Raw genomic sequence first — 14,877 nt, forward strand, 5'->3', positions numbered from 1 at the left:
CCTGAAAACGCTTCATACTGTTGGAGTCAAACTGCATGACATTTGGAAAAGGCAAAACTATGGAGATGGTAAAAGGATCAGTGACTGCCAGGGATTGGGGAAGGAGGAAGTTTTAGGGAGAGCACAGAGGATTTTTAGGGCAGTAAAACTATTCTGCATAATACTATAATGTTAAGTATATTTATCAAAACCTATAGCATGTACAACACTTAGAGTGAAGCCTAATGTAAACTGTGGACCTTGAGTGATAATGATGTGTGAATGTAGGCTCATCAATTATAACAAGTGTATCACTCTGGTAGGGGATGCTGACAGTGGAGGAGGCTGTGCATTATGCAGAAGCAGGCGGACATATGAGAAATCTGTCTCTCTTACTCAATTTTACTGTGAACCTAAAACTGCTCTAAAAAAATAAAACCTATTAAAAAACAAAAATGGGCAAAGAACTTGAATAGGCATTTCTCCAAATAAGATATACAAATGGCAGCCAGGCACAGTGGCTCATGCCTGTAATCCCAGCACTTTGAGAGGCCAAAGCGGGTGGATCACCTGAGGTCAGGAGATCGAGACCATCCTGGCTAACACGGTGAAACCCCATCTCTAATAAAAATATAAAAAATTAGCTGGGCATGGTGGCACGCGCCTGTAGTCCCAGCTACTTGGGAGGCTGAGGCAGGAGAATCACTTGAACCTGGGAGGTGGAGGTTGCAGTGAGCCGAGATTGCACCACTGCACTCCAGCTTGGGTGACAGATGGAGACGCAGTCTAAAAATATATATATACATATATATATATATGAATGGCTTATAAGCACATGAAAAGATGCTCAACATTATTAGTCATTAAAGAAATGCAAATCAAAACCACAATAAGATACTACCTCACACCTACTAGGAAAATGGAAAATGTCAAATGTTGGTAAGGACGTAGAGTGATTGGAACCCTTATATGCTGGTGGTGGGAATGTAAAATGGTGCAGCCATTGAAGAAAACAGTTTGGCAGTTCCTCCTAAAGTTAAACATAAATTTACCACATGGCCCAGGAATTCCACTCTTAGGTATATACCCAAAGGAAGTGACTCAAACAGATACAGCCATACATACTTGTACGTCAATGTTCACTGCAGCATTATTCACAATAGTCAAAGGTGGAAACAGCCCACATGTCCACCAACTGATGCACAGATAAACAAAATGTAGTATATGCATACAACAGAATTTTACTCATCCATAAATACGAATGGCTGATACATGCTATAACATAGATTAACCTTGAAAATATCATAGTTCAATGAAGCTAGTCACAAGAGGCTACATGTTATATGGTTCAATTTATAAGAAATGTCTACAATAGGTAAATCTATAAAGATAAGAAGTAGAATAGTGGTAGCTTAGGACTAGGTTGGGGTGGGTATGGAGGGTGGTATAATAGCTAAAAGGTAAAGAGTTCTTTTGGAGGTGATGAAAATGTTTTAAAATTTACTGTGGTGATGGGTGCACAAACCTGTAGCTATTACAAAATCAATGTAATATACACTTCAAATGAGTGAATTATACAGAATGAGATATCAATAGAGCTGTTAAAATTTAAAATCCAAAATAGACTCAATTACACATATATGAGCCAAGCAGTATCTCAAATAAGCAGGAAAAAATGTGTACTCTTAAGAATATACTTAGGAATCTATCCCCAAGATATACAAGTAAAATTATGAAAAGACATGCAAAAATTATTCACTACAAGAGACTGGAAACTATCCAAACATTCATCAATATGGGACAGATTCAGTAAACCATGGTGTATCCACACTACAGGATACTATGACACTTTAAAAATAAAAATGAAGACTACCCTAATTCTGCTATGCAATGATTTCCACAGTATACTGTTAAGTGAAAAAAGCAAAGTTGGGAAAAGTATGTATATCAAAAAAAGGGGAATTAAATAGATATAGACAGACATAAATGTTTATAAAAAACAATGATGGCTGGGTGCGGTGGCTCATGCCTGTAATCCCAGAACTTTGGGAAGTCAAGGTGGAAGCATCACCTGAGCCCAGGAGTTTGATACCGGCCTGCACAACATGGCAAGACCCCATCTCTACAAGAAATAAAAAATTAGGCATGGTGTCATGCGCCTGTGGTCCCAGTTGCTGGGGAGGCTGAGGTGGAAGGATCACCTGAGCCCGGGACGTCAAGTCTGCAGTGAGTCATGATGGTGCCACCGCACTCTAACCTGGGCAACAGAGTGAGATCCTCTCCCAAAAAACACACAAAAAACACACAAAGACACAATGATGGAAAATAAAGTTTTAACGGTGAGAACAGGATACAAGGAACAGAGAAAGAAACTAGAGTTATTTGAAGATATCTTCTTTTAGCAACAACTATTTTGAAAATGAAATAAAATAAATGAATCTAAATTTACATCAAGTTAGTAGCATAACCACACAAAAGACTATTTTCAAGTGACTTGAAACACAGTAATTTGGCTCTATCTTGTCAATGGGACATATCCTACAGACAAAAACAAAACTCTGAAAAATACAGTTAACAGTCTTTATAAATCTTATTGTTGTTGACAGAAAAAAGATACAGACAGAAGACAGAAGTAAAAACTGTAGTCTTAAATCTGAATTAGAAATATCAGTATGAACTCATGACATATTTTTCTTTAAAATTAAAATAAAATCTAGGTCAGGTGTAGTGGCTCATGCCTGTAATCCCAGCACTTTGAGATGCCAAGACGGGAGGAATGCTTGAGCCCAGGAGTTCGAGACCAGCCTGGGCAACATAGGGAGACCCTATCTCTAGAAAAAAAAATTTTAAAGTTAGTTGGGCATGGTGGTGTGCGCCTGTAGTCCCAGCTAGTTGGGAGGCTGACATAAGAGCACTGCTTGAGCCCAGGAGGTTGAGGCTGCAGTGAGCTGTGTTTATGCCACTGCACTCCAGACTAGGCAACAAAGAGAGAGAGAGACCCTGTCTCAAAAAATAAAAATAAACCAAATAAAATAAAATCTAACTCTGTCCATTGAATAAATCTAGAAACAATGACCAAACAAGGAACATGAATACCACTAGCACCACATTGCAGTTTCCAGGCACCTCTTCCCATGAAAAAAAGATCAAGAGCTTCTTGGAGAGGTGGCTCATTCCCCAGTTGGAGCAGGAAATACATCTTGTGATACCAGACAGCAAAGAAGCAGTCAAAGATTACTAGGGTCATGTCAAGATAGGACAGTTTGAATATCAAAAAGGATAGTAACTGCACTGTCTTGAAACACATTAGATATGTTTAAATATATGAGTTCATAATTATATGAAAACAAAAACAAACATTTGAAGGACACTAAAAAAACCATTGTTTTCACAATTAGTAAGTAAATGGAAAGAATCATAGCAATATACCTACCATTCTATATAAACCATATCACTAGGTAATCAAATAACTGTAAATGGGGAAAGTTTCTCCTTATAAAACTATTCCAGCCAATAAATGAAGAAATAACAGAATTCAAATATCACCATTTTGCAAACTCTAATGAATTAACAGATCTAGACACTGAACGTTAATGGCCTCTAACATCACACACACACAAAAAAGAGACCTAGAGCTTGTGTGCCTTCCATATCTCATGTGTCTCCAGGAAGGAGATGAAAGGAGAGTATTTCCTATTAAATAGTCTTGCCTCCCTGCCCCACAAAAAAGGACTCAATTTAAGTTTTAGATCTAACTAAATTACCAATTTACAGGAAAAACAGATGGAACAGTCAAACATCATTACACGAATGAAACCGGCAAGATCCAGACTGTGGGAAAATCTACACAAATAAAACTCAAGAATTTTTTTAAATAGAGACTGAGGGGGAAACATTAAAAGAGACTTAATAAATATGTTGACTCTTGCAGGCAGAATAATAACCTCACAAAGGCGTTACATCCTGACTCCCAGAACCTCTGAATATGGTATCACACTTGGCAAAAGGGACTCTGTGGATATAATTAAGGATCTTCAGAGGGAAAAATTCCTCTGGATTATCCTAGGCCTAAAGGTATCACTAGGGGCTCCTCCTTCCCCATCTGTTTTGTGGTGAGAACGTGACATCTACGCTCTTAGTAAATTTCAAGTACAATATACATTAACTATAGTCACCATACTGTGCATTAGGTTTCCAGAACTTACTCATCGTATAACAGAAAGCATGTACCCTTTGACCAATACCTCCCCTTTTCCCACATCCTCCAACCCCTGGTAATCACCATTCTATATTCTATTCTGTTACTATCTATAAATTTGACTTTTTTTTTTTTTTAAATATTTGACATAAAAGTAAGATCATGCCATATTTGTCTTTCTGTGTCTGGCTTATTTCACTTAGCATAATGTCTTCCAGGTTCATCCATGTTGTCACAAATGGCAGGATTTCCTTCTTTTTTAAGGCTGAATAATATTCCTTTGTGTGTGTGTCATGTGTTGTGTGTGTGGGTGTGTGTGTGTGTGTATGTATATATATATATATGTATATATATGTATATATGTATATATATATGTATATATGTATATATATATATATATACATACACACACACACACACCCCCCACATTTTCTTTATCCATTCATCTGTTTATGGACACAGCAGTTTCCATATCCTGGCTATTGTGAATAATGGTGCAATGAACAAGGGAATGCAAATATCTCTTTGAGATAGTGATTTATTTTCTTTGGATATATACTCAGAAGTGGAGCACATGGTAGTTCTATTTTTAACTTTCTGAGGAACCTCCTAACCATTTTCCATGATAGCTGTACCAATTTACATTCCCATCAACAGTGTACAATTTTCTTCTCCACATCCTCTCCAATACTTGTTCTCTTTTGATTTTTTGATAGCAGACATCCTAACTGGTATGAGGTGATATTTCATCGTGGTTCTGACTTACATTACCCTGACAATTACTGATGTTGGTATCTTCTCAAACATTGAGTTAGATGAGCATCTCATACGTTTTGGATATTAAACCCTTATCAAATATGATTTGCCAGTATTTTCTCCCATTCAGTAGAATGCCATTTTGTTTTGTTGATTGCTTCCTTTGCTGTCCAGAAAACTTTGTAGTCTGATGTAGTTCCACTGTTTATTTTTGCTTTTGTTGCCTGTATTTTCATGTCAAATCCAAAAAATCACTGCCAAGACCAAAGTCAAGGATATTTCCCCCTATGTTTTCTTCTAGGAGTTTTACAGTTTTAGGTCTTGCATTTAAGTCTTTAATCCATTTTGAGGTAATTATTGTGTACGGTGTAAAATAATTTCACCATATTTCATCCAATTTCATTCTTTTGCATGTGGATATCCAGTATTTCCAATACTGTTTATTGAAGACACTATCCTTTCCCCATTGTGTATTCTTGGTGTCTTTGTCAAAAATTAGTTGACTATATATGTGTGGATTTACTTGAAGGGTCCTTATAAGGGGGAATCCTTTTAAAGACAAGGGTACTTATAAGGAGGAGGCCAAAAGCCACAGTCAGAGGAGATTTTATGACAGAACAGGTCAGATGAAGAGATGTGACGACGTTATACTGCTGGCTTTGAAGATGGAGAAAGACACCAAGAACCAAGCAAAGCAGGCATCCCCTAGAAGCTGGAAAATTCTCCCCTGAAGTCTCTAGAAGGAATATAATCCTGCTGACACCTTGATTTTATCCCAATGAAACCCATTTTAGATTTTTGACCTCTAGAACTGTAAAAGAATAAATGTATAAGTGTATAAGCTAGTAAGTGTGTCATAATTTGTTAGCAGCAATAGGAAGATAATATATTAATGAATCACAACATGTGGCTGTTATTTGGTTCCTAATTTTTCTTAAAATAACTTACTAAAAGATTTAGAAATGTGAACCCTGCACATGTGACATCAAGGAATTATTGTTTTATAATTGTGATGAAGTTGAGGTTACATTAATAATTTTTTTAAAAGAACATATATCTTTGACACAGTAACTAGGAAGTCCTGGGGATGAAACAATATGATATCTGTGATTTGTGACACAGTGATGGGGCAGGATTGGCCACGGGCTGATAAGCTTTGTGGCTGAATTTATTTTACTGTCTACCTTTACGTATGTTCAATATTCTCCATAGTAAAGTTTCTGTAATTACAGAAAGCATGATTCCTAATGGTGAGATGTTAGAAAACACCCTTGGTACCCAGAACACAAGGAGGCATACTTTCTTTTATTCATCCTCATCCTAAGGGTCTTAGCCAATACACCAAAACCAAGCAAAACTGTTGTTAGTCTGTGATATACATATAGAAAACCTTTTAAAAATCCACAAATTGGATAAAAAATGTTTTTAATTATTATCATAAGCAGGCTAGCCATAAAAATCAATATACCAAATGCCATTTTATTTCTATATGCCAAAAAACATAATTTTTAAAGGCATAGTGGCTCATACCTATAGTTTCAGCTACTCAGAAGACTGAGGCCAGAGGGTCACTTGAGCCCAGGAATTGGAGGATGCAGTGAGCTATGATCGTGCCACTACACTCCAGCCTGGGCAACAGAGCAAGATCCTGTCTCCAAAATAAATAAATAATAAAAATACAAAAGAACAAATAGCATTTATGATACTCTCTAACACTTTAAATTACCGAGGAGTTGGCCAGGCGCGGTGGCTAACGCCTGTAATCCCAGTACTTTGGGAGGCCAAGGCAGGCGGATCACCACAGGTCAGGAGTTTGAGACCAGCCTGGCCAACATGGTGAAACCCCGTCTCTACTAAAAATACAAAAATTAGCTGGGCATGGTGGCATACACCTGTAGTCCCAGCTACTCTGGAGGCTGAGGCAGGAGAATCACTTGAACCCGGGAGGCGGATGTTGCAGTGAGCTGAGATCACGCCACTGCACTCCAGCCTGGCGACTGAGTGAGACTCCATCTCAAAAAAGAAATTCTGCTTCCTTCCATTTTCTCAGTGAAGTCGGAAGCAATACATGCCTCAGCTGACAATGATGATTGCAGAAGAGGTACTAGTAGGACCAAGGGGAGAGGAAAAGATGTAGAATAGTTGTTTAAGTGAAAGAGTGAATGAACTAAGAAAATATAGTATGACTGTCAGGCAGCATTAAGGGCCCATATAATGGTCAGGAATTTAAAATGAAGCCAGTTAAAGAGGTTTTGTGTTTTTCTCCAAACACCTTCAGTTGCCCTAGTGTAGCTATAGGGTAGGCTGAGTGGGATTAACCAGTATTGCATTTTTTTTTTTTTTTTTGAGACGAAATCTCATTCTCTCACCCAGGCCAGAGTGTAGTGTCGCAATCTCAGCTCACTGCAAATTCTGCCTACCAGGTTCAAGGGATCCTCCTACCTCAGCCTCCCGAATAGCTAGGATTACAGGCATGCACCACCATACCTGGCTAATTTTTTTATTTCTTTTTTTTTTTTTTTGGTAGAGACAGGGTTTCACCATGTTGGCCAGGCTGGTATCAAACTCCCAACCTCAGGTGATCGGCCCACTTCAGCCTCCCAAAGTGCTGGGATTACAGGTGTGAGCCACCATGCTCAGCGCAGTATAGCATTTTATCAAATAAGGACCATAAAACAAGAATGAAGACAGAAAATAGAATTAAGAATGAATGTAAGGACTAATATCCAGAATCTACAGGGAACTCAAATCAGCAAGGAAAAAAAAACCAAATTATCCCATCAAAAAGTGGGCAAAGGGCATGAATAGGCAATTTCCAAAAGAAGATATACAACTGGCCAACAAACATATGAAAAAATGTTCACCATCACTAATCATCAGGGAAATGCAAATTAAAACCACAATGAGATACCACCTTACCCCTGCAAGAATGGCCATAATTAAAGAGTCAAAAAACAATGGATGTTGGTGTCATGTGATGTGATGAAAAAGGAACACTTTAATACTGCTGGTGTCCACTCTGAAAAACAGTATGGAGATTCCCTAAAGAATCCTAAAAGTAGAACTACCATTCCATCCAGCAATCCCACTACTGGGTATCTATCCAAAGGAAAAGAAGTCATTATATAAAAAAGACACAGGGACATGCACGTTTATAGCAGCACAATTCACATTTGCAAAGATATGGAACCAACCTAAGTGCCCATTAACCAATGAGTGAATAAAGAAAATGTGGTATACATACACCATGGATTACTTCTCAGCCACAAAAAGGAACAAAATAATGTCTTTTACAGCAACTTGGATGAGCTGGAGGCCATTATTCTAAGTGAAACTCAGAAAATCAAAGATCGTATGTTCTCACTTATAAGTTAGGAGCTAAGCTATAAGGAATCAAAGGCATAAGAATGATAAAATAAACTTTGGGGATTCAAGGGGAAGGTTGGGAGAGGGTTGAGGGATAAAAGACTATATATTGGTAGTGTACACTGCTTGGATGACAGGTGCACTAAAATCTCAGAAATCACCAACAAAGGACTTATCCACGTAACCAAAAGCCACCTGTACCCACAAAACCACTGAAATTATAATAAATTTTTTTTTAAAAAAAGAATGGATGTAAGGATATGATTAATGGGTAAGCTTAATGAAACAGATGTCACGTGGGGTGGTAAAACTCTTCAAGTTCAAAGAAATGAGGTTCCGAATTTAGAGTTCCGGAATATCATAATCACCAACAGTAATGCCACTGGTGAAAGGGTCAAGCCGGGCACGGTGGTTCACGCCTGTAATCCCAACACTTTGGGAGGCCAAGGCGGGTGGATCATCTGAGGTCAGGAGTTTGAGACCAGCCTGGCCAACATGACGAAACCCTGTCTCTACTAAAAATACAAAATAAGCCGGGCATGGTGGTGCGTGCCTGTAATCCCAGGTACTCAGGAGGCTGAGGCAGAGGAACCACCTGAACCCAGGAGGTGGAGGTTGCAGTGTGCTGAGATCCATTGCACTCCAGCCTGGGCGACAAGAGCAAAGACCTGAGCAAAGAGCTGAGACCACTGCACTCCAGCCTGGGCGACAAGAGCAAAACTCCACCTCAAAAAAAAAAAAAAAAAAAAAAAAAAAGAAAGTGTGAATCACCAGCAACCATACACCTGTAGTGGTCTGAATTGGTAGTGGCAGCATTTACAACCATGTAACCATCATTATGTCTTCATGGGTAGTCAGTATGACATATTTACATGTTGAAATATATTTTACCTCATAAATTATGTGTGATTGTCCTTTATAGTACAGCTAAGACATTATAGAGGTTTTTAAAATTTATGTGTATCAGATATTATCTATAAATTTTATTTCAGAATTGAAAAGGGAGAAGGGGTAATTAAAAGGGGCACTGACTCTGACAGGATTGAGAATCACTGCCCTAGTAAAATTTTTTATGCATATGTAACAAGGTGACAAAAAGGACAATGTTAAGAGTAAAGAATTAAAAACAACCTGGATGTTCACCTATATGGCAGGTAAATGGAATAGGCAACATCAATATGTATTAATGGGTAGATAAACCTCATCTCTTTTGGCAAACTAAAAAATGGCATATTTCTTAATAGTTTATAGGATATATAATTGAGGTGACACCAATGTTGGGAAGAATCCTCCTCAGAATGCGAAAGGGGCTATGATTTTGAATTCTGAGAAAATACATGAAATGCTAGCACACAGCCCTGCACTACATAGCGCTACATAGTTATAAATGTTTTCACTTTTTTTTTTTTCTCTCCCCTGAGACAGGGTCTGGCTCTGTTGCCCAGGCTGGAGTACAGTGGCCCAATCACGGCTCACTGCAGTCTCAATATCCTGGGCTAATTTTTTGGTAGAGATGAGGTCTCACTATCTTGCTCAGGCTGTGTTTTCTCCATTTTTTAACGTCAACTTACTCTATGGTTGCAGATGAAATGTAAATGTTACTAATCCTCATAATATACAAAAGTAAAAGTAGAGCTGGCAAATAACAGGATATTGAAGAGGTTTATAAAAGTAGAGAAAAGGAATATGGATATTCTAATCTCCCTAGGCTCAAGCACCTCCTTCACTAATTTACCAGGTCTATGGCCTAAAGCAATATACTTATGTCTCCTTTTCTACAAAAAAAGGAAAATAATAGTATGCTGGTTTCCTAAGGCCATCTCAAAAATTAAATGAGACAATGCAAATAAAGCATTTGAGACAGTGCCTGGTACTCACTAAGGACTCTGTAAATGGTGGTTATCGTACTTAACTGTATTTTATGAGGCAAATTTTATTGCCATAATGCCATTTAAAAATTTGAGAACTCCTGAAATTGCAGGACTGTTCTTAGTAAAAGTCAAATGTCAGACTACATATATTACATATATGCCTATTTCCATATTTTGAATCTTCAATTATGACTTCTCCATTGAACTTGGGACCCCAACTGTCTATCATCTCAACTTGTAACAGTCTTCTCACACCTAACACAGTAAAAACTAAACTTTTTACATCCGTCACCCAATTTATTTGTTCTTCTCTCAGTCTTCCCTATTTCAATAAATAGCACAATCTAACCTACTGCTCAATCAAGGCAATTATCCATAATTCCTCTCTTTCTTTCAACCCTCAAACCCAATCCACCAGGAGCTCCTGTCGGATCTACCACCAAATCACAGCCCAAATTTTCCACTTCTCAGCATTGCCATTGCTATCAAACCAGGCCTAGCCACGATTATCTCTCTGCTGCTTCTGTTATTCCTTTATAGTCGACTCTCCACAAAGCAGCCACCCTTTACACACATAAAACCCCCCACTGTATTTATTTTTTTTTAGACAGGAATTTGTTATGTTGCCCAGGCTGGTCTCAAACTCCTGGCCTCAAGTGAGCCTTCTGTCTCAGCCTCCCAAGTAGCTGGGACTACAGGCATAAGCCACCACGCCCAGTTACCTCCACCATATTTAGAATAAAATCCTATGATGTTATACCTCCACCATATTTAGAATAAAATCCTATGATGTTATACCTGCCCAGTTACTGCCACCACATTTAGAATAAAATCCTATGACTTTACAGCTGCTTCCTCAACTTCGTCTTTCTTAACACCTCACTCATTTAAACTCTAGCCAGGCTGGCTTTATGTTCCTCAACAAAACTAGGGTCTCTGAATTTGCTGTTTCCTCTGCTTCAATCATTCTTGACTCTTATGTTTCTTCAGTGTCTGCACTCACATGTCACCTTTCTTGACCACCCAAAGTAGAGTCTCATAATCATTTCATACCATGTTGATTTACAAGCACATGCTATCTGAAATGATCTAATTTCTATACCTGTCTACCTCTTTCTAATGCAATGGCAGGGATCTCACTTTCCCATCTTCTGTTAAGTCACCTTCTCAATGAGGTCTTTAACGACCAACTATTTAAAATTCCAACATATGCATCTTGCCTAGTATTCCCTATTCCCTTCATTGTTTTTTTCTCCAAACCACTTATCACCATCTAACACACTATACATTTTATTTATCTTTCCTGCTTATTCCTCTCCTCCTACTAGAATCTAAGTCCACAAAGACAAGGATTTGTCTTTTTTTCACATTGTATCTGCAATGCCTAGAAGAGTAAGTTCCTGATAATAATAGGTCATCGATAAATATCCTAATGCAGCTGAATGAATGGGCCTTGTCTTGTTCAAAGCTGGATGGATCCTTAGCATCTTGAATACCCAGCATACAGGAGGCACTCAAATTTACTAACACAATGACTGTTAAGACACTCAGATTCTGAAGTACTACCAATTCAAAGAAAAACTGTATTTTGTTCAGTATAAACTGAAATTGAAGTATGATTCTATTTGTATGTTCAAAAGCTCCTATGACACACTTTTTAAAACAGTTAAGTATGTTTTATTGTATCTTAAGTAAAAAAAAAAAAAAAAAAAAAAAAAAAAGATTACCCAGTTGGGTAACTTAGCTTATAAAACTTAAAGCAACAGATTAATTAGAATGCCCTTTCCCTAGCAATGTCAGAAAAGTTTCTATGCTATAGAATTCAACAGAAAGGGAAGAACTAGTGATTTAGGAAAGAGAGCAGAATTGATGGATCAATGTCCTTGAGTAAGCAAGAAGGCATGGAATCTAATACTTTCGTGGAGGGAATTGCATAAATGAGGAAAACAGGCAATTTATCTATTCTAACAAGGAAAAAGGAAGATTATATGGTCACAGCTACAAGGAAGTGTATAGACAGGTGGTGGGAGACTATGGCAGTTCTCTTCTGACTGCTGAAATTGTCTTGGGCTACATTATCTAGTGAGGAGCATGGAGAAAATACGTAGTGAAAACAGAAAAGAACCCGGATGAGACCCCTGATGGATTCTAACTCTTAAAGAACAGTTAAAAACACAGCACCGAGTAGAAGTAGGGCTTAGAGGCATAACAGAAAACTAGCATACTGTGGTATCACAGAATATCAGCGTGATTGCTCAACTGTCATTCACTGAGGTACATCTGAGGAGTGAAATGGCCCAAAGCCAATTCACAACAGCCCGTGTAGAAGATGGCACACCAATCTTAACTTCGGAAGGGGTGCAAACATTACCAAAGCGCTGTCTTTCTACAACAGTCTATGCTGTAGCATAAAATCAACTATCTTGAGTGTGAATATGTATATGCCTTTCTTACAGAGTAAATTTAGCTTGTTTCTTCCAAAGAAATAATCTCCCAAATGGTAATGATATATTATTAAATTACCTTTTCCCCAAACGTTTTAAAAATAATAATCAAGAGATGGTATGTAATGAAGCATCGACGTGGGTAACTCTCAAACTTTATTGTCCTTGTAAAAAGTCTAACCTTTCCAAAACTCATCTGGGCTTTACCATTAAATCTGCGTCATAATTCTAGAGTTTGTCTTTCTTCTCTTTTTGAATAAAAGGTTTCAAAGTACAGCCTATTCGCTGGATCATGAGAATATGTTACTAAGAAGAATCACTTCATCCATGGGAAGCTGCAGTCAGCATTTTAAAGCAACACTGCCACCAGAAGACAAGAAAGAAAAGTAACTACTAACGACTACGGGGCAAGTTAAATACAAAATATTTACCTGGCCTCCCAACGCGGCTACATTACACCCTGCCTACCACCAACTCTTCAGAAAGGCTCATTCTTTCTCGCACCTCATCTTTGTAACTTTTTCCCCCCCAGCATTAGCCTATCTACTAAGACACATCAACCTAAAATCGTATCCTAATGTCCTATCTGTTGGTCTGGGTAGTGTTTACACAGGTGAACACAAATGTCGAAGTCTTTCACTGATTTTTTTTTCAAAATAAGTGATCAACATTGTGTCCTAGTAACTCCGCAACGTGTCACGGAATCGCTGAATTTGTCATTGTCCACAAGTGTAGAAAAATGTGGTCACAAGTCAGTCCTCGGCTCGCGTACGAAGAGGCGGTCTGCCCAGTGGGGACGCGGGACCCCCCTGTTTCCCCTATTTTTATTTATTTTTTACTTTTTTTGAGACAGAGTCTCACTCTGTCGCCCAGGCTGGAGTGCAGTGGCTCGATCTCGGCTCACTGCAACCTCTGCCTGCTAGATTCAAGCGATTCTCCTGCCTCAGCCTCCTGGGTAGCTGGGATTACAGGCGCCCGCCACCACGCCCGGCTAATTTTTGTATTTTTAGTAGAGACGGGGTTGCACCATGTTGGTCAGGCTGGTCTCGAACTCCTGACCTCGTGATCCGCCCGCCTGTGCTTCCCAAAGTGTGTTTCCCCTCTTAAGCAGTGGTTCGGACGGGAGCTTTCCCGGCCCGGCGCTCGCGTCCGGGATTAAAGGGCTGCCGCGGAGGGCGTGACCAGCCCAGCCTCGCCGCCGTCGCTTACCCGGTAGTTGCTCGAACCCACCCAGCCGGTGAGCGCGTCGACTGTCTTGCCTAGGCGGCCCAGGTCCTCCTCCAGGTCCGAGATGGCGCCGGGGGCGCCAAGGTAGAGCAGGAGCTCCTGGCCGACCTGCAGCCGGCCGCCGACGTCCTTCTGCTGCACCTGGGCGCAGAAGTACTCCATGCTGCGGGGCTCCATGGCTGCGGCCGCCCGCCCGCCTGCCAGTCTGTGAGCGGCCAACTTTCGCCGAGAGCCGCCCAGCCTCCAGTGCGGGTCCCCGCGGGAGCGGGCGGGACTCACTTAGCCCGCCAGGGGCGCGGCTTGCGGGGCGCAGCGGGCGGCGGGAGGAACGCCAAGCGCCCAGCCGCCCCCAAACTAGTCAAACTCGGCGCCCCCCGATCCCCAGCCCGCTTCAGAGGCCGCGGCCGCGGGCGACGTCAGCACGCGCGTGACGTCAGCACGACGCCGGCGAGGGCCCTCCAGTCCGGCTAGCGTTTTGCTGCGGAGGTGGTGGAGGTGGCTGCGGAAACCGCTGGGAGCGATAGGACCTCTAGGGAGACTTGGGGTCCGAGTTGGGCCGAGCCCCCTGGGAGGCGGGCCGTTCTTTGCTAGCCGCTGTCAGGGCACCCTGCCCTCGCCCTGTGAAATGTGGAACGTTTCCAAGTTTGCCTCCACTTGTATTCAACACTTAGGAAAGTACTTGGCATCCCCCTTTCCCGCCCCCACTGCCGGTTTAAAAAAAAAAAAAAAAAAGAATACACTCCTGACTTCTGCTTCCAGCCACCACCACAGTCACTGTGTAATACTTAAAAAAACAAAACAAAACAAAACTTAGGTTTGCCTAAAGTAAAACGCACAGATTTTCAGCGTACACTTCATGAGTTTCGGCAAATGTATTCACCCGTGGAACCGCCACCCCAGTGAGGGTACAGCACGTTTCCAACACCCCAGGAAGTCCCAGGACACTTCCCAATTATCTGCTCTTCCCTAGGCAATTCTAATTTGATTTCTAGCATGGTAACATAGTTTTCCCTGTTCCTGAACTTCATACAGTCTG

The 14,877-nt window shown here is 40.3% G+C and overlaps 1 protein-coding gene across 40 annotated transcripts in view, besides 2 other annotated features; it reads right to left on the minus strand.

Moving 5' to 3' along the window:
* The window catches only part of CLASP2 (cytoplasmic linker associated protein 2), a 222,010-nt gene extending 207,740 nt beyond the window's left edge, over positions 1-14,270 (minus strand). For all 40 annotated transcript variants that reach the window (NM_001375713.1, NM_001400406.1, NM_001375705.1 and 37 more), the window contains exon 1: positions 13,824-14,270. Coding sequence is in view for 39 of the 40 variants with exons in the window: in NM_001400406.1 (NP_001387335.1) it covers positions 13,824-14,018 (195 nt within the window). In the remaining variant the exon portion in view is untranslated. The remainder of the gene's footprint in view (positions 1-13,823) is intronic.
* Positions 14,002-14,341: a silencer, noted in NCBI's record as "silent region_14191". NCBI's record gives its function as "represses an Ori minimal core promoter by ATAC-STARR-seq in GM12878 lymphoblastoid cells {active_cell/tissue: GM12878}" and the evidence as "EXISTENCE:reporter gene assay evidence [ECO:0000049][PMID:35858748]".
* Positions 14,542-14,631: an enhancer, noted in NCBI's record as "active region_19651". NCBI's record gives its function as "activates an Ori minimal core promoter by ATAC-STARR-seq in GM12878 lymphoblastoid cells {active_cell/tissue: GM12878}" and the evidence as "EXISTENCE:reporter gene assay evidence [ECO:0000049][PMID:35858748]".

The sequence above is a fragment of the Homo sapiens genome, chromosome 3 (genome assembly GCF_000001405.40).
Source record: "Homo sapiens chromosome 3, GRCh38.p14 Primary Assembly".
NCBI lineage: Eukaryota > Metazoa > Chordata > Mammalia > Primates > Hominidae > Homo > Homo sapiens.